At 35.1% G+C, this 18,825-nt stretch overlaps 1 pseudogene across 1 annotated transcript in view; it reads right to left on the bottom strand.

Moving 5' to 3' along the window:
- Positions 1-18,825, bottom strand: part of EGFEM1P (EGF like and EMI domain containing 1, pseudogene) — a 581,078-nt pseudogene that overhangs the window by 24,080 nt on the left and 538,173 nt on the right. The window contains exons 7-9 of the transcript NR_021485.2: positions 14,199-14,318; positions 12,358-12,505; positions 3,482-3,619 (exon numbers count right to left, since the gene is read on the bottom strand). The product of NR_021485.2 is annotated as an EGF like and EMI domain containing 1, pseudogene (transcript). The remainder of the gene's footprint in view (positions 1-3,481; positions 3,620-12,357; positions 12,506-14,198; positions 14,319-18,825) is intronic.

The raw sequence follows: 18,825 nt of genomic DNA, 5'->3' as shown, positions 1-18,825 counted from the left end.
TGGCCTGTCAGTGCTGAGTTTACAAAATCCTACTATGCCATAACTACGTAAGCAGCCACAGATAAAAAGGGTCAATGTCTCAATTAACCCTGGAAAGGGTATCAACTCAAGAAAATGAAGACAAAAGAAAGAAAGGAAAGAAAATACAATCAATCAAGGTGAAGGGTCACCATAAAATATCTAAATGAAGGTCATTTAGACATAAAACATTCTTTTTCCCACAAAATGTCAAAAGCAGAACTACTCACAAAATTCTAAATGATATTTTTTCCTTTCTAGTATTAAACCTTCCTTTTATTAATCCTACTGATTAAATAGTATGATGTAGAGAATAAAAAACTTTTAAAAAAATTCATTTTCAAGGCTGGGCATAATAGCTCACGCCTATAATCCCAGCACTTTGGGAGACTGAGGTGGGAGGATTGCTTGAGCTGAGAAGTTCGAGGTTGCAGTGAGCCGTGATTGTACCACCTGCACTCCAGCCTGGGTGACAGGGCGAGACCCTGTCTCAAAAAACAAAAAAAACTACTCATTTCTAAAGACCAATTATTCACTAGTGTAAAGGCAATTATTCACTTGGAATGTACATATACATATTTTACTTATTTGTCTGAGAACAGATTAATGTCACAGCTGCTTCATAAAAAACAGTCATGCATGAAGGAAATCAAAGGATTTTCTTTTTATCATATATTAGTATCAACTTTGAAAAAATATATATGCGAATGTACAAAAAATGTAAAAATAAGTCAGCCAGTTAGCACATAGTTAATTAAACCTATCCAAAGGCAAAAACTTATTAGGGCTAAAACCTAGAGATGTGTTAACACAATTTGAAAGACAGGTATATAAAATGCAAGTGTCTGACTAGCAATGAAGTCACTAAATTTAACAATTGGCCAGTTATTAGAAAATATTTATTATTTAACCTTATTCAGTGACTATGTATGGGGAAGAGATACAGAAGATCAAGTTTTTCACTTTTGATGCTTTTCTGAAATCAGAGCTGAAATGTTTCAGTGTTTTGCCTGGCTGCAATTGGTCCTCTACTTTTGATTAAGGCTAAATTTTTATGTATGGATTAATTTGGGTACAATGGTAAAATATTTGGCATATTGGCCAATTTAGGAAAAATATGATCATCAGAGATGAGGACAATTAAAAGGGAAAATTAAGCATAACAAAAGAAAAGGAAATATTAAAGAATATTGAGGAAATATTAAGCATAACAAAAACAAGCAAATAAGGTATCATAATTCCTGAATGATGACAAATCACTGCTTTAGGAACTTGGAAGTATTTTCAGAATCAGGACACATAGTAACGTAGTTTAATACTTGCTATTCCTATTTACAGTAGCAAGCAAAGATCTAACAAAATAAAATTTGAAAAGAAATTTAGAAAACAGGTGATTTAACAGTTGAAGTGGCAAGACATTTTAAGAAAGGCTTGTGATGTAGGAAGAACGGGGTTTCAGATGAGTTCCAAATGAGGATGGTATACATGGGACAAACTAGAAATAGCCCCAGAGGAATGTTAATAGAAAAAGAATCCAAAATGGATCACTAAATGATAGACTGAGGGACTTGTTTTCCAATTGTGTAATGCAATGTTGCTCCTTGCTATTTGAGAACAGGGCATCTTGAGACCGATATGCTCGAAGTCTTTGGTGGTATCTGAGAAGACTTTTTAAAAATCTGAAAAACTTTTAAAAAGCCTAAAAAATAATGTTTTAGATGAAATGAAATTGAATTATTTATTTACTTATTTTTGAGACAGGGTCTTGCCCTGTCATCCAGGCTGGAGTGCAGTGGTACAATCATAGCTCACTGCAGCCTCAATATCCTGGGCTAGAGCGATCCTCTCACTTCAGTCTCCCAAGTAGCTGGGAGTGCACCACCATGCCTGGTTATTTTTTAAATATTTTATAGAGATGGAGTCTCTTGAAGTTGCTCAGGCTGGTCCCAAACTCCTGGACTCAAGCAATCCTCCCACTTCAGCCCCCAAAAGTGCCAGGATTACAGGCATGAGACTCAGTGCTTGGCTTGCATTTTCTTTTTCTTGTCGGAAAAATGAAATTAACTTGAACCATAAACAATATAACATTGTCATACTGACGGCTGAAATTTCATAAATATGCACTTTTCTACATTTTGACCCTGGCAGATGCTATTTTTTTCTAGCTGTAAATAAGAACTTTACTGAATGGTATTTTTCAAAAAATAAAGAAAACACCAAATTTAAGTCGCAAAGAAACAGTTTGGCAAAATTCCAGTTTCTCTTATCAATACTCAAAAGAGGAACAAACAGAGAGATAGAAGGAAGGAAAAGAGGGAGGGAAAAAAGAAGCAATCAAGGAAGAAAGCCCTTAATTTTTTCTATGGTTACAAATCTTATCAAGGTAGGAAATAAAAGTAAGCATATTTTTCATTAAATAATAAGAGGTGAGGAAAGCAACTGGCTTCAATATGTTACCCACTGTAGATTCTGAGAACAATATTGAAAGCAATGTTGCATAAATAAATACAATGGCATTGTTTTGAATTTATAAAACCAGAATACTGCAAAATTTCTTGAGTTTCATTCTGTGTCATCATACTGCCAAAGTAAAATGTCCTAAATATTTAAACCATTGAGTTTTTCATACTTCAAATTGTCTCTATCTAACCATATTGAGTAGTATGAAATGGTCAAAAGATTTTGTATTGTAATTTTTAACGGAGGAAATATTAAGCATAACAAAAGAAAACAAGCAAATAAGGTGTCATAATTCTTGAATGATGACAAATCACTGCCTTAGGGACTTGGAAGTGTTCTCAGAACCAGGGCACATAGTAATGTAGTTTGATACTTGCTATTCCTATTTATAGTAGATACTCCTTTTTCTCAGGAATGTTTCATTATGAAGCAAAACTAGGGTGGAATTTTAGTTTCTTCATTGTCTCAAATGATATAAACTCCAATAATATGTTGAGAAAATTAGCAATTAAAAATGGATTTGAGCTGGGAATTCCAAAGAATGAATTTTTTTAAGTTGTCTTTTAGAATATAGCTACTTGTCATATCAAAGTTGAACATACATCCCAAACATTATCAAGTTGAAAACCAGTGCAAATAATTTCGTTTCTGCTTGAGGTAGAGAACTGAGGTATGTGACAGCATTTGTTGTTGGAATTACACATTACATCACATAGTTGGATAGATCATGGAATATTTTCCTGAAATAAATCTATTAAGGGCATATATTTCATTAAAGTGTTTTAAATCTCCTTTAACTTCAAGGTAAATATCTAAATGTAATGTTGTCTTCTGACAGGTAACCCTTCTTTTACATTTATTCAGTAGCCAGAGACACTCTTCAATTTATTTGTCTTTACAGTTTGAGAGATGTGGCTCACAGTACAGCCGTAAGTACTACAGATTAAAGGGCTAAATGAATCCAGAGCAACTTTTGAATGAAATGGCATTTACCAAACATTACCTATGCATGTTTTCTCATCAGAATCAAGCTGGTGTCCATGGTTACAGGAACAACGGGGAGCACCAATTTCATGTTCACGGTGATGGGAACAAACACTATTGTTCTTTTCACAGCTATTGACAATTTCCAATTCAATCCCTTTCCAAAATGAGCAAAAGAGGATTATTAGCATAACAGACAAACCTGAATATATGTCAGTAACGGACACATTCTCTCTGTTGAGAGGATGACAAACTTTATTAGAAATCCATCAACACTCTATACACATAAAAGTAAAAGTCTGAGGGTTATTAAGCATTGTAAATGCCTATATACCACATTATATACTAATAAACATATAAATAATGTTGAGTGATACAGAAAGGTAATGATGAATACACCACTGGTTATTAAACACTTACCTTAAAGGAAACATGTTTTGGGAATTCTCAGTATTTTCAGGATATAATAGATGTAATATATATACATATATATTAAATCAATAATCAGAAATCAAATAGGTTGTTTGCTAGCTGACATTCCTGTTCTTGAGCTAATAGTATGTTATTATGCGTCCTTTTTACGGTCTATAAGCACATGAAAATACTGTTAAAAAATAACCTTGGAGCAAAGGTGTAAACATAAACCCAATGATTTAGTTGATCATATGTAACTAGGGTCATGTTGATGCACTAATGAGCTTTGATTTATACGAGAATCACTTATTACATAAACAAATTATTACTGTGAAAATCAATTTGGCTGGTACATGCTACTAATTTCAGGCATATTGGTGGGCCTGAGCCTCAGCAGATGAATGCCAATTGTCCTGAGCACACAGGCATTATAGTCTCTCATTTTCTAAGTGACAAAATAAGAATTATAAAAATGTTTAGAATCCATGTTAAAATATGGACTTTAGATACTCTGAATGCCATTTTTACCACAGAAGGTCTATGGGTCTTTATTTATGTTGTTTGAACACACCCCCTCTTACTGAGAGTGTCTACATTGATTCATTTCCTCTAAGTCTTAACTTATGAATCATTTAGAAGAAAAAAAGCTGGAGGAAAAAAAAAAAAAAAAACAAGACAAGAGTCTTTGGGATTGTAACACTCCTTGAAAGCATATGTCACCATATAAACTGCCTAGACATCCACTACAGTTCCAGAAATCATCCGGCCTACTCCCCAGCAGCCAGTCCAGGGCACAGAGCAGCCTCAGATGCTCCCAAGCACCCAGGGCACATCCCTGTCATTGTGCCCAGCCCACTGCGCCATCATCATCTTGCACTCCCCAGCTCATAACAGATGTTCAAAATAGGTTTCCAATGATTGAATAAACAAAAGAAGGATTATGCTAATCAATTTATTGTTAAAAATAAGAACCCCTTTGGGTTTAGAAACAGCTAGTTTAGGACTAAGCAAAATTAGAAAGCTAAAGGAAAGATTAGTGAAGGGAACTGATATTTTTCTTGATACATTAACATATACTCTTCAGAGAAACCTATTTCAAATGATGTCTCTGGTTGTGGTGACAGGGACACACAGATCTTTCTGATACAGAATTGAAGTTTTTTTCTGACATATGCTTGCTATTGCCATTCTTATAAAGAGACATTTTTACCTATTTATGAACCATATGTGGTATCTTAGAGTCTATCAAATTAATCTCCATCATTGCTTAGAGAGAAAAGTAAGGTCAATTGACATGAAATCACTTCAATAACATTTACGGCACTGTTGGTTGTAAAAGCCAGTCTATATTATGCAAGGTATCATATGTGCTTATTAATCTAAATATTATAAGTCATAAAAGTAACATGATTTTTGCTTAGGATCAGAAAACTGAGGTTCAGAAAAGATAAAAGACTTGCCTAAGGTAGCAGGGCTGGTAAGAATCAAAGCTTTCTAATTCAGAGATGTTTTCCTATATAATATCATTTGTAAAGAGAAAATAGCTAGGCCTGGTGGCTCACACCTCTAATCCCAGCACTTTGGGAGGCCAAGGTGTGCAGATCACTAGAGCCCAGGAGTTTGAGACAAGCTTGGGTAATATAGTGAAACCCTGTCTCTAGAAAAAAATATAAAAAATTAGTTGGGCGTGGTGGCACGTTCTTGTAGTCCCAGCTACTCAGCAAGCTGAGAGGTGGGAGGGTTGCTGGAGCTGGGGAGATCAAGGCTACAGTAAGCTGTGATCTTGCCATTGCACTCTAGCCTGGGTGACAGAACAAGCCCCTATCAAAAAAAAAAAAAAAAAAAAAAAAGGAAAGAAAAAGAGAAAATAATTTGACAAGCATGTAATCTATTTCACTGAAATGTGGTGTAATATTTTTCCTAAGAAAAGTTAGTGTGACATAATAGAAAAAGGCACAACATTTAAAGTTGGAAGATCTGACACTTTACAGCTGTGTAATCTTCAATTATTTTAAATCTCTGATCCTCAGTATTTTTCCCACTGTTAACAGAGGGATTGAGTTGCACTAAGGTTTGGAAACTAGTGGCCTGCAGTTATATGGGATTTGATTATCAAGGTGTTACAAAAGTTAAGAAAATATTAGGATTTCCACCATTTCATCACAAATTAAAGGTCTCCTATTTTTTTTTTAAAGCCAATAACCCATGTTGCATCCATTCCAAAAGATAGCTTGGGAGTTTCTTATAAACTTAAATATACACCTATCATATGACCTTGTGATTCCAGCCCTAGGTTTTTACTGAAGAGAAAAATCTTTTTTAAAACTATGTTCATATAAAAACCTGTATACAAATGTTTATAGCAGCTCTCTTCATAATTGCCAAAACCTGGAAACAACTTAAATGTCCTTCAAAGGGTGAATAATAAACCAACTATAGTATATCCATACTCATCAAAGAATAGAACTCTTCATATGAGCAACAACTTGGCTGAATCTTAATGGCATTATGTTGAATAAAAGGATACACACAGTTTAATTCCATTTATATGACATTCCCAAGAAAAGAAAATTCCAGTGAGGGAGAACACATCAAGTAGATGTCAAAGGTTAGAGACGGGGAATAAGTGACAAGCCAAGGGTAGCACCAGGGAGTTTTCTGGGGTTGACAAAACTATTCTTAATCATGATTCCAATGGTGGTTACAGAAATCTATATATTTACAATTAAAATTGATATGATTATATACTGAACATGTTAATTTTACTGTCTAAGTAAAAAATAAATTAAGAGGCAAGATAACCCTCCCTAGATTCCACATTGTTCTCCATTTACTGCCACATTGCCTAATCCTTAGCAGCACTTGATACCATTGACCATTTACTTCTCCCAACTTTTTTTTATTTTATTCTTCAGAAAATCACATTATCCAAGTTGTCCTTAAACCTTACTGGACATTCTTCTTCAGTCTTTCCTGTCTCTGTGTCACATTTTAGTTACTTAATGTTGGAGTCTACAGTCTCAGTTTCCTCCTGCTTACTCCTCCAGACACCCTCCCTTTGTAAGTGACCCCATTCTTGCTCATGGCTTAAATACTGACATTTACATCTTGACAAGCTGCTCACTCAAGCTCTGACCACCATAAACTTCTAGAATTTTCTATTTAGTTAGGAAATAGATAGAAACTACCTACATGTTATTTCTACTTGGCTCCTTAAACTTCACACAGCAGAAATAGAAGTTATGATTTAAACATACCCTATATCTCACCTCCAAACCTGTTCTTCTATTGGACTCCACATTTTGGTAAAAGACATTCGGATTCACCTGTTTCCTAAAGCCCCAAACCAAGAATTATTCTTGATTTTTCTTTTCCTCACATCCACATTAGGAATTCATCTCAGCTGTGTCTACAAAATAAATCTCAAATCTACTGCTACTAGCTTAATTAAAGCCACCACCACAGCTCACCTGAATGACTCTAATCTTGCTTTTACAGACACTCCCTACTGTCCATTCCCTAGGGAGTAGCCACAGTAGTCCTTAAACAGTGAAAATCATATGATATTACTGTTTGTTCAAAACTACCCAATGCCTTCTCGTCACATTTGGAATAAAATCCAAACCCCTTGCGACGGCCAAGTCTGATTCTTCCCTTTCCCTGCCTACTGCTCTCATTGACTGTCTCTACACCTTGTTCACTCTTTTCCAGCCTACACTGGTTTTCTGTTTCCTAAAACATCAAGCTCAGCCCTACCTTAGGGTCTTAGTTATTACTGCTCCTTTTTCTTGGATCTTCTCATTGTATATTAACACTATATAAGGTGATAGTATACATTTCTTTGATTAATTTCCTGTTTTCTATCTCCTCTATAGGAATTTAAGTTCCATAAAGGCAGGAACTTTTCCTGACTTGTTTATCATTGTATCTATAGTGTTAGGAACAGCACCTAGCACATGGTAGGTATTCAGTAAGCACTTGTTGAATAAATCAGTGGGTCTAGTACACTGGCATCACACTCCCTCTAGGTGACAGTTAGCTGGAGGCAAGCAATCAAGCAATAGCTGTCCTCTCTAGGCCCAAAACTCCCTCTCCAGTTCAAAACAGTCCTTACAATTTCCTATCTTTTATGCTTAGCCTGTCTTACACATTTATATTTATTGCCTGTCTTGTGTTGGTGTTAGAGTTTTGATCCCTGGATTAGGTTATATTTAAAATACTGAAAACTATAATAAATTTCTAATATTAATTGATTTTTTCAGGGGGGAAGAGAGGTGAAAGTATCCATTTGACAATTTTTACATAGGCTTCTCTTATTCATGCTCTTTTCCAGTGATATTGCATCAATACAGCTTTAGACTGCTGGTGGTAATTGGATTTGAATATAAATGATACCATGGTCACTTCTTTAAAGATATATGGAACTAAAAAAAGTGCAAACTCAGATCCATAACTACCTACCAGATGCAAGCTGAGATTTTGATTCTTTGATTCAGATGATAAAAAATGTTTTTATTATAGTACTTTAGAAATCATACTTAAAACATTTTTATAAGTAGCAAATATATTGTTTGCTTGCTAGATAAGATGTACATTAAATATGTGTGAAATAGTTAAACTATATTACATATTGCTTGGTAATTTGAAGGAAGTGTTCTGTATGTCAAATTTTCCAATTTCTAATTATAAGACAATGATAGCTAATTCATAGTACACTATGAAGATTCAATGGTTATACTGCAAAGTGTTTTGAGACCTGTTGAGAAAAAACTACATAAATATAAAACACTGTTCTCTAAAAAAGAAAAAAGCATCATTTCAAAACGTACTTTAGATGATGGGCACATAATTCATTGTTAAATATCATCATACTCGGCTGGGCGCAGTGGCTCACGTCTGTAATCCCAGCACTTTGGGAGGCCAAGGCGGGTGGATCACAAGGTCAGGAGATCGAGACCATCCTGGCTAACACAGTAAAACCCCGTCTCTTCTAAAAATACAAATAATTAGCCGGGCGTGGTGGTGGGTGCCTGTAGTCCCAGCTACTCTGGAGGCTGAGGCAGGAGAATGGCGTGAACCCGGGAGGCGGAGCTTGCAGTGAGCAGAGATTGTACCACCACACTCCAGCCTGGGCAACAGTGGGAGACTCCGTCTCAAAAAAAAAAAAAAAAAAAAATATATATATATATATATATATATATATATATATATATATATATATATGACATCATGGTCTAAAAGGACTTATTCCATCTATAGGTTTTGAAACAAGTCAAAAGACCAGTTTTCACTAGGAAAGGTTTGTATTTCAGTTAGTAAATATAGGTCTGGTGAGGACTGCAGAAAGAGCTTAGCCAAATATTCACAGAAGGAAAATAAATGTAAAAATAAACTTCTACCAAATGTATTCAACTTGAGAGCAAATTTCTTTCCCAAGTAAATTCTACAGAAAACTTGTATGTACCTCCTAACTTATCAATAATGACCCCCTCTTTCCTGATAACTGAGGAAGCACCAGTCAGATTACAAGAGGTTTAATTTCATACACTTGTAAAATATACTCATCCCCTAAACCTCTGGTCACATTAAAGCCAAAATACTTAAGGCAAAGAAAAATCCTTCCACACTTTTCTCGGCCTGAAAGGACTCCTTAGGGCATTAAAAAAAAAAGCCTGACTTCAGAGGAAGTTGTATCTTAATTAGTAGTCAAATTTCTCTCCCATCTTATTTAGTTTGCTCTTTAAAAGGCAAATATCACTGTAGCAAAAATGTAGTCTTTAAGCAATAAAAATATACCAACAGACCTTAAGGAGCGTAGAATTAAAGACACATAGAATTTTATGTCGGAAGGAAGAATGAGGAATTTAGTTACTCTAATAATATCTCTTCATGAAAGAGCTCAGGTAAGAAAGCTTAAATATTTATTTTATATATCACCATCTTTATTTGTTCCTTCATTAAAACTAATAAAGAGACATAACGTATATAAACACATGATGAAGCTGAAAGGATATTATATCTGAGGCAGGAAGACTCTAGGTCAAATCCTAGTTCAGTCACTTATTAATTTTCTGTCACTGAGTTCTTGACTTTGTCACTAAATGGATGATTGATTAATATGTGAAGAACTGAGAAAAGGCTCTTTGGGACTCGGACTCAAAATCAGCATTTCTGTTTTGGTTCTACCAAGTGGGAAATGCCTACCAGTCATGCAGGTAGTGATGCGGAATAGTTTGGTATATTCATATGTAGTTAAAAGGAGAGCAGTTGGATAAATTTTACATTGAGAGAAGGGCCAGAGATGGAAAGAAATACTAGAAAAATGTAGTAACACAGAAGTGAAGAGTGTTTTGAGAAGAACTCTTTTGCTCTTCTTGAACTCTTTTGTTTGTTCAAAACTACCCAATGCCTTCTTGTCACATTTGGAATAAAATTCAAACCGCTTGCGATGGCCAAGTCTAGTATAATCTGATTGTTCCCTTTCCCTGCCTACTGCTCTCATTGACTGTCTCTACACCTTGTTCATTCTTTTCCAGCCCACACTGGTTTTCTGTTTCCTGAAACATCAAGCTCAGCCCTACCTTAGGGTCTTAGTTATTACTGCTCCTTTTTCTTGGATCTTCTCATTGCATATTAACACTATATAAGATAATAGTATACATTTCTTTGATTAATTTCCTGTTTTCTATCTCCTCTGTAGGAATTTAAGTTCCATAAAGGCAGGAACTTTGCCTGACTTGAGGGTAGTCAGAAGTGTTGAAAACTACTGAGAGGTCAATTAGGATAAAATTGAAGAAGCTACCATCCAATCTGGTAGCATAGAGGTCATGGGTGACAAGTGGCAGAGTAGAGATGAAAACTTGATTAGTATGGGCTGATGAGAGAATGCAAGATGAGAAAGAGGAGACATTGGCTATAGAGTCAGACATTAGCTTTTATGAAATATGGACTCATGTGAAAGTACTTTAAAGACAGAAGATACTTGGCCATGTTGTTATGCTGATGAAAATGATGCAGAAGAAAGAACTGATAATTCAGAAAAGAGGGAAATAATTGCAAAAGCAAAGATCTTCAGATGTGAAGAGAGAATGGAACCCAAAGCTCCATGGAGAAGATGACCTTTGATAGTAATAGGGCTACCTGCTTCATATTAATAGGACTGAAGCCTTTCCATGTGAATCTATGGGAGACTTTGGTTTAATTGTTACCTTGGATGACAGTTTGCATTTATTATTTGATGACCTAAGAGATGAGATGAGGACAAAGGTCAAAAGGAGGGTGATATAAAGTTTTGGAAGAGATGTTAAACACTTATTTTGATGAGGGTAAAAGTAGACATATTCTGACAGTATGTTTGTCCACCAATGCTGCTTAATCATTTAAGATTTATGATCCTGAATTTAAAGCAAAACCAGTTAGCATGGTTATGTTTTCAACATAGTAAAATTTACCTGGTAAAGTATAGTCGTGAACTGGAAAAAGAAGGAAGAAGTCACTGAGAGAAAGATAGAGTCTGAAGATGAAGAAGAAGATGAAGAAGAAAAATGAATTGTTGATGTACCAAGACCTCTGTCTCTTGATGTACTGAGACAGAGATGGAGAAATCAGCCATAAAAATAAGAAAAAAAAATCTGCCATTTAGAAAAGGACAGAAGTAGAGATGGATGAGGATGGCAAATGTTGAGGTAGAAAACATTGAACTTGAGGAAATTTGTATCAGATAGATTAAAGCTTAGTAAAGTAGAAAGTGTGCTCATCTACAGATTAAGTAGTGGACCAGTGGGGATGACGTGTGAGGAGAACATAGTTGTAATAGCAACTATAGCTAATCGCTCAGCATATTAACATTTTAATATGTTCCTAAAAAGGGATATATTTAGTTGTATAACTGAGCCTAGGGAGGAAGATGCTAAGGTTATATGATATGGATCATGAATGTTTTGAAGAGAAGGGATAGGGAAATGAATCAGTGGAAGAAAAGACAAAGCAGGAAGCAGCTGCTCAATAGGCATAATGAAAGGAAATGAGGGAGGGAGGGGGAGGGCCAATGTGGAAGATTCTCATTAGAACATCCAATGCATGAGGCATGGTATTGCAGCTTAGAGCTGCTTCTTGTACGGTGGTTCCTTCACTCCTGCTCTTTCCTTTCTCTTGAGTTTTACAATGGAGTTATTAGTGTTCAATAAATATTGCATGGCAGAACTGATAAAGGAAGGCAGAATTTTCACAAAGATCTATGAACCCAACAAAGCCCCAAGTCAGAAAACCTGAGGCTTAATCCTTGCTAATGACACTACAGATTATTTTGCAAACCATTCTCCATTGACTCTGGGCCTCTGTTTTCTCACCTATAAAATAAAGGGGTTGGATTTTTAAGCCTCCATCCACATCCTTCTCAGGAGCTCCTGCTTTAGCAAGACACACAATGTAATTCTCTTATGTATTACTCATGTTTAATACCTGTAAAATGCCACACATTACCTGGGCTGTGACTGTTGCCAATTACTGTAACATTGTTTTCTATCAGCTCCCAGCTCAAAGCCAGTTTGGCAGGCACAAGTGAAAGATCCCATAGAGTTTACACAGCAGTGGCCACAGTAAGAAAGACCTTCAGCACACTCATTTATATCTGCAGGAAGACAGACACAACAGCTATGTCTTAGGAGCTATAATGATGACTTTTTGACAAACTACAATAATGGACCAATGCACCTGCTCCCACTTGACCCCCACCCCCAACATCCACTGTAACAGTAAGTACCACATAGGTTCCATATTCTTTATATAAAGGAGTATTTGTGAATAAGCTGACTGCTTATGACATTACCACTAGTGTTGGTCTTATGCTCTCAAACACTTCTATTAGAACCTAATAGTATCTATTAATAAGAAAAAAAGAGAAAATGAAACAAAAATGGGCCTAATCTATTCCTTATAATGCAGGGAAGAAGTCATTGTAATTTGTCTTTAGGACTATCTCTTTGATTTACATTAGTATGTGTGGCCACGGGCAAGGCAGATAAGGGGCCTTCATATTTAGCAATCCATGGTTTCTGTTATACATGTGATTGTCACAAGGGAATGCCACTTAGACACTGATACCCTCTCTCTCCTGATATCAGTAGTCAATTCTATTCAGTGTGTGTAACTTCAGTTGTGTGGCTCAGGCGATCTCTCCTTCCTCCCTTTAAGGGGATAGGTCTCACATTTTTTTAAACTGGTTCTTCCTCCATACTACATATCATCCCCACCAGGGTGCTTAAGAGAAATACTCATTCTTCTAATGTATTTGTAATAGAATAGGCAGGCAGTAATTCTGAGGATAGATTTTCTATAAATAATGTATCAGATGTTAAAATAGGAGTGTGAAAGTCAGTAGACAGATAAATATACATAACTATATCTATGTCTGCAAACATTTGTCAGTTTTCCTCAAATATTTATTTAAGATGATCCTATTCTGTGCCAGGTGCTGAGCTAGATAGGTGCTGTGGAAACAGAGGACCAAAGCAGAAATGTTCTCTGTTAGAAAAGTGTGTTTAAAAAATCCACAGAAAATATCATCTTAATTTCAACCTAAAGAAAAAAATGAAAACACAAATTTCCATTACTAATTATTTTTCGTAATTTTTATCAGTCCCATAAGTCATAATTACTTTTGTAGTTACTCCAAATAAATAGTTTCTCATTTCATGAAAATATCATGATAAAAATGGTTTCTCATTTCATGAAAATATCATGATAAAAAAAGTGATTTCTCAAAAGTTATTAAAATGAGACTTTTGACAAGACTGCCCCAGAGAAATTACTTAATGTATCAGTTCTTGTGAGGGAAGAATTTGTCACTTTCATCTTTGAATTAAAGTATGTCTGTTTTGCTAGTTCTAGGAAAGATAAATGTGTGATTTTGTATTTATAGAGTTCTTTCTTTTTTGTTTTAATTATTCCTGACTTCTGAAAACACTCATTTACATATACTTGCTTTTCAAAGGTTATCCCCACCTTCTGTAGCCTATAATAAAAAACTTCCTGTGTGGCTATAGAAGATTTTGAAATATTAATTCTGGAATTCACTTCAGAATGAGAAACAAAACGTATTAAGTCTGGAACTATCCTATGTCATTTTTTAAAATGTTACTAAGAATTTCACTGAAGTTTTATGGTATAAAAATAGCTTTCAAATGATCAAATAAGAATTTAAATGTTCCTTTTTAAGAATAAACGAAAACACCTTTTCTCCTAGCTGTTCTGACTATTCAAAACTGAATTACCACAAAATTTCAAACAATTACACAATTAATCCTTCAGTTTCAGTCTCCTACCTTCACAAATGTTTTTATCTTCAGGCAGCTGGTACCCTGCATGACAGGCACACCTGGCCGTGCCATTCTCACTCTGACATATGTGAACACATCCATTCCCACCTGTGCAGGGGTCCATTTCTGAAAGCAATTAAGCAGCAATAGTGTATAATTCATTGAGTTCAGAAAGATGTACAGAGTGAAAGGATGGACTAAGAAAGGTAAAGAGACCACTGGGACCAATGTGTTTCTCACATAAAGATGGTAAAGACTCCAGAGAGTCCTTTCCTACTTTCATGTGAAACCCATTTAAAGCAAGCCTTTTAAAAATGTTTGCACAGCTGTTATTTTTAGTTTTGTTATTTATTTGTATATAACAGTTTTACATATTTTGGGGGTACATGTGATATTTTGAAAACTGTATACAATGAATAATAACCAAATCAGGGTAATTGGGATATCCCTCACCTCAAACATTTATATTTTATTTGTTTTGGGAATATTAAAGTTCTTTTCTTCTAGCTATTTTTAAAAATGCAATAAATTATTGCTAACTATAATTTGCCTACTGTACTCTTTTACACTAGAACGTATTCCTTCTATCCAACCATGTCTTTGTACTCCGTAACCAACTTCTCTTCATCTCCCCATCCCTCTTCCCTTCCCAGTCTACCCTCTACCTCCATAAGACCCCCTTTTATAGCTCCCACATAAGAATGAGAACATGTGATATCTGTTGTTGTGAGCCTGGCTTATTTCACTTAACATAATGACCTCCAGTTCTACACATCCTGCTGCAAATGATAAGGTGGAAATTTATGCTCATGAGTTGAGAGACTTAATATTGTTAAAATCTGTATACAAGCTCAAGCTTGATTCCAATGACATTCTTCACAGAAATAAAAAAAATATAAAATATGTATAGAACCACAAATGTCCCTGAATAGCTAAAATCATCCTGAGCAAAAAGAAGAAAGCTAGAAGCATCACAAGCTCTGATTTCAAATTATACTACACAGCTATAATAACCCAAACAGCATGATATTGGCATAAAACAGACACCTAGACGAATGCAACAGAATAGAGAATCCAGAAGTAAATCCATACACTTACACTCAGTTGGTTTTTGACAAAGATATCAAGAACATGCATGGGGGAAAGGACAGTCTCTTTAATAAATGGTGCTGGATAAACTGGATATTCATATGCAGAAAAATGAAACTAGATCTTTATCTTCCACCACATGCAAAAATCAACTAACAATGGGTTAAAGACTTCATTACAAGACTTGAAACTATGAAACTACTAAAACACTAGGAAAATGCTACAGGACTTTGGTCTGAGCAAAGATTTTGGGGGGTAAGATCTCAAAAGCACAGACAACACAACAATAGACAAATGGAATTACAATAAGCTAAAAAGCTTTTGCACAGCAAAGAAAACAATCAATAAAGTGAAAAGACAACCTACAGAATGTGAGAAAATACTTACAATCTATTGGTCTGACAAGAGATTAATAACCAGCATGTGTAAGGAACTAACAAATCAATAGCAAAAAAAAACAAAAAATCAATGCAATTAAAAATGGGCAAAAGATCTGAATGGACATTTCTCAAAAGAAGATATACAAATGGCCAAGAAGTATATGAAAAACTATTCAATATCACTGATTGTGAGGGAAATACAAATGAAAATCACTAGGAGATATTACCTACCCCAGTTAGAATGGCTGTTATCAAAAAGACAAAAAGTAACAAATACTAGTGAGGATGTGGAGATAGGGGAATGCCAGTACACTGTTGGGAGGAATCTAAAGTAGTACAGTAACTATAGAAAACAGTGTAGAAGTTCCTCAATAAACTGAAAATGGAACTGCCATATGATCCAGCAATCCCACTGCTGGGTATACATACTCATAAAAAGGAAATCAGTATGCTGAAGAGGTACCAGTATTCCCACTTTTATTACAGCACTATTCACAACAGCCAAGGTATGGAATCAAACTAAGTGTCTATCAGTGGATAAAAAGACAAAGGAAATGTGGTTTACATATATAATGAAATAATATTCAGCCATAAAACCCTTTTTCATTTTGGATCTGAACCCTCAAATGTGAACAAATTAAATGTAGATCAAAGCTGAAGTGGCGTTTGCTTAATTGCACTCTTCTCCAAAGTTTATCTCCTGCCCTGTGGTACCCAAGTTAGGTAAAGAGTCAGCAGGAACTCCTTCTGACTCCTCTGCTCTTTTTCCCAGTCTTTCCCTATCTTTTCTCCTTTGCACAGCAGGATCATTCATAGATAAAATCTACTACCTTCTCTAGGTTTCCTCTGACTTTGGATAAGAGGTGACAGTGTGAGGAAAAGGAAGACTGGAGAGATGTGTGAGGGCCCTCGCTACAGCTGCTGTGGGGATAGTGATAAAGAAGTTAAAATCCCATTGGATTAAGTAAGCTAGCCTTTCTCCCCTTTACTTGTTCCTGTTTCAATGGATGTTAGTAATATTCTCTGGAAGTTCAAAGTAATGGGCGGCCACACATCCTATGAGGATTACCTCCACACACTGCTTATTTGTCAGTCATTCTAGTCTGATTCTATGAATCCAGGCTTGTCTATCTTACAGACTGCTAGAGTGGGGCAAGATAATTTCCAATCCTGCTCCTCTCCCATACTTTTAAAAAATAATGCAGGGTGTAAAAAGAAAAACAATATATATAGTCAACCTGCCCCACATTTATCCAGTTTCAACCCAACTATTATGATACATAAATGCTTTCATTAGTTTCTTGTGAATGTTTCTAGACATTCTTTATGGAAATATAAGTAATACAGAACAATATACATTGTTCTACTCCTTGCTTTTTTTGATAGAGAGGGATTGAGTTGAATCTGCAGATTAATTTGGGGAGTATTGCCATTTAAACAATAGGATGTCTGATCTATGAACATGAGATATCGTTCCATTTGTTTAGATTCTTACTTCAGAAATGTTTCCTAGTTTTCAGTATATCACTTTTGCACTTATTAAATTTGTTCTTATGCATTTTTTTCTTTTTGATGCTGTGGTAAATGGAATTGTTTCTTAATTTCACTTCTGCATGCTCTATGCTAGTATATTAAAATATAATTTTTGTGTTCATCTTGTATCATGCAAATTTGTTGAATTTTTATTAGTTCTAATAGTTTTTAAAAGTATATTTTTAAGAATTTTCTATACACAAAATCATGTCATCTGCAAACAGATATTTTATGTTTCTTTCAATAATGATGCCTGCTATTTGTTAGTTTATTTATTTATTTGTTTATTTTGACACAGGGTCTCACTCTGTTGCCCAGGCTGAAATTCAGTGGTGTGATCATGGCTCACCACAGCCTCTATCTTCAGGGCTCAAGTAATCCTCCCACCTCAGCCTCCTGAGAAGCTAGGACTACAGACATGTGTCACCATGCCCAGCTAATTTTTGTATTTTTTGTAGAGATGAGATTTCTTCATGTTGCCCAGACTGGTCTCGAACTCCTGGTCTCAAGTGAGCCACGCACTTTGGTCTCCCAGATTGCTGGGATTACAGCCATGAGCCACCCTGCCCAGCCACATGCTTTTTATTTTCTTATCTCATTGCTCTGTCTGGAACCTCCAGTACTATGTTGAATAGAAGTGATGTGAACAGACATCCTGTCTTATTCTTGATTTTAGGGGGAAAGCTTTGATTATTTCACAATTAAGTGTGATGTGAGCTGTGGGTTTTTAATAGATTCCCTTACCAGGTGAGGAAGTTCTTTTATATTTCTAGTTTTTTCAGTGATCTTATCACGAAACTTTGTTGGATTTTGTCAAGTGCTTTTTTCTGTATCTATTGAGATGATCATATGGTTTTTGTCCTTTATTCTATTGACATGGTGTATTACATTGTTTTCAGATGTTGAATGAACGTGTTTTCCTGAGATAAAATCCACCTGACCATAGTGTATAATTAATCCTTTGCATATGTTGTTAGATTTAGTTTCCTAGTATTTTGTAGAAGATTTTTACATCTATACTTATAAAAAATATTAGTCTGTAGCTTTTTTTCTTGTGATATCTTTGTATTATTTTGTATCATGGCAACTTTGGCCTAATGGAATGAGGTAGGAAGTGGTCTCTCTTCTTCTATATTTTGGAGAAATTTGTGAATAATTTATATTAATTTTTAAATATTTGGTATAATTCACTAAAACAATTTGGGCCGGGGTTTTCCTTTGTGAGAAGTTTTAAAATAATTAACCCAATCTCTACTTATGATATGTCTAATCTGAGAAACTAATTTCTCAGATTTTCTATTTCTTGAGAAGGTAGTTCCAGTAATTCATGTCATTCTAGTAATTTGTTCATCTGTTATCTAATTTGTTAACCTACAATTGCTCAAAGGATTCCTTTTTCCTCTTTTTTGTTCTGTATGGTCAGTAGAGAGGTCCTTTCATTTTTGATTTCAGTAATTTGAATCTTCCCAGTTTTTAAACACACATCTAACTTGAGGTTTTGCATTTTACTGATCTTTTCAAACAATGTAATTTTGCTATCATTGATTTTCTCTGTTGTTTTTCTGTTTTTTACTTTATTATTATCCATCTATACTAATCTTTATTATTGCTATCCTTCTACTAGTTCTAGG

The sequence above is a fragment of the Homo sapiens genome, chromosome 3, assembly GCF_000001405.40.
Source record: "Homo sapiens chromosome 3, GRCh38.p14 Primary Assembly".
NCBI lineage: Eukaryota > Metazoa > Chordata > Mammalia > Primates > Hominidae > Homo > Homo sapiens.
This window is presented reverse-complemented; position numbering and strand designations above follow the sequence as displayed.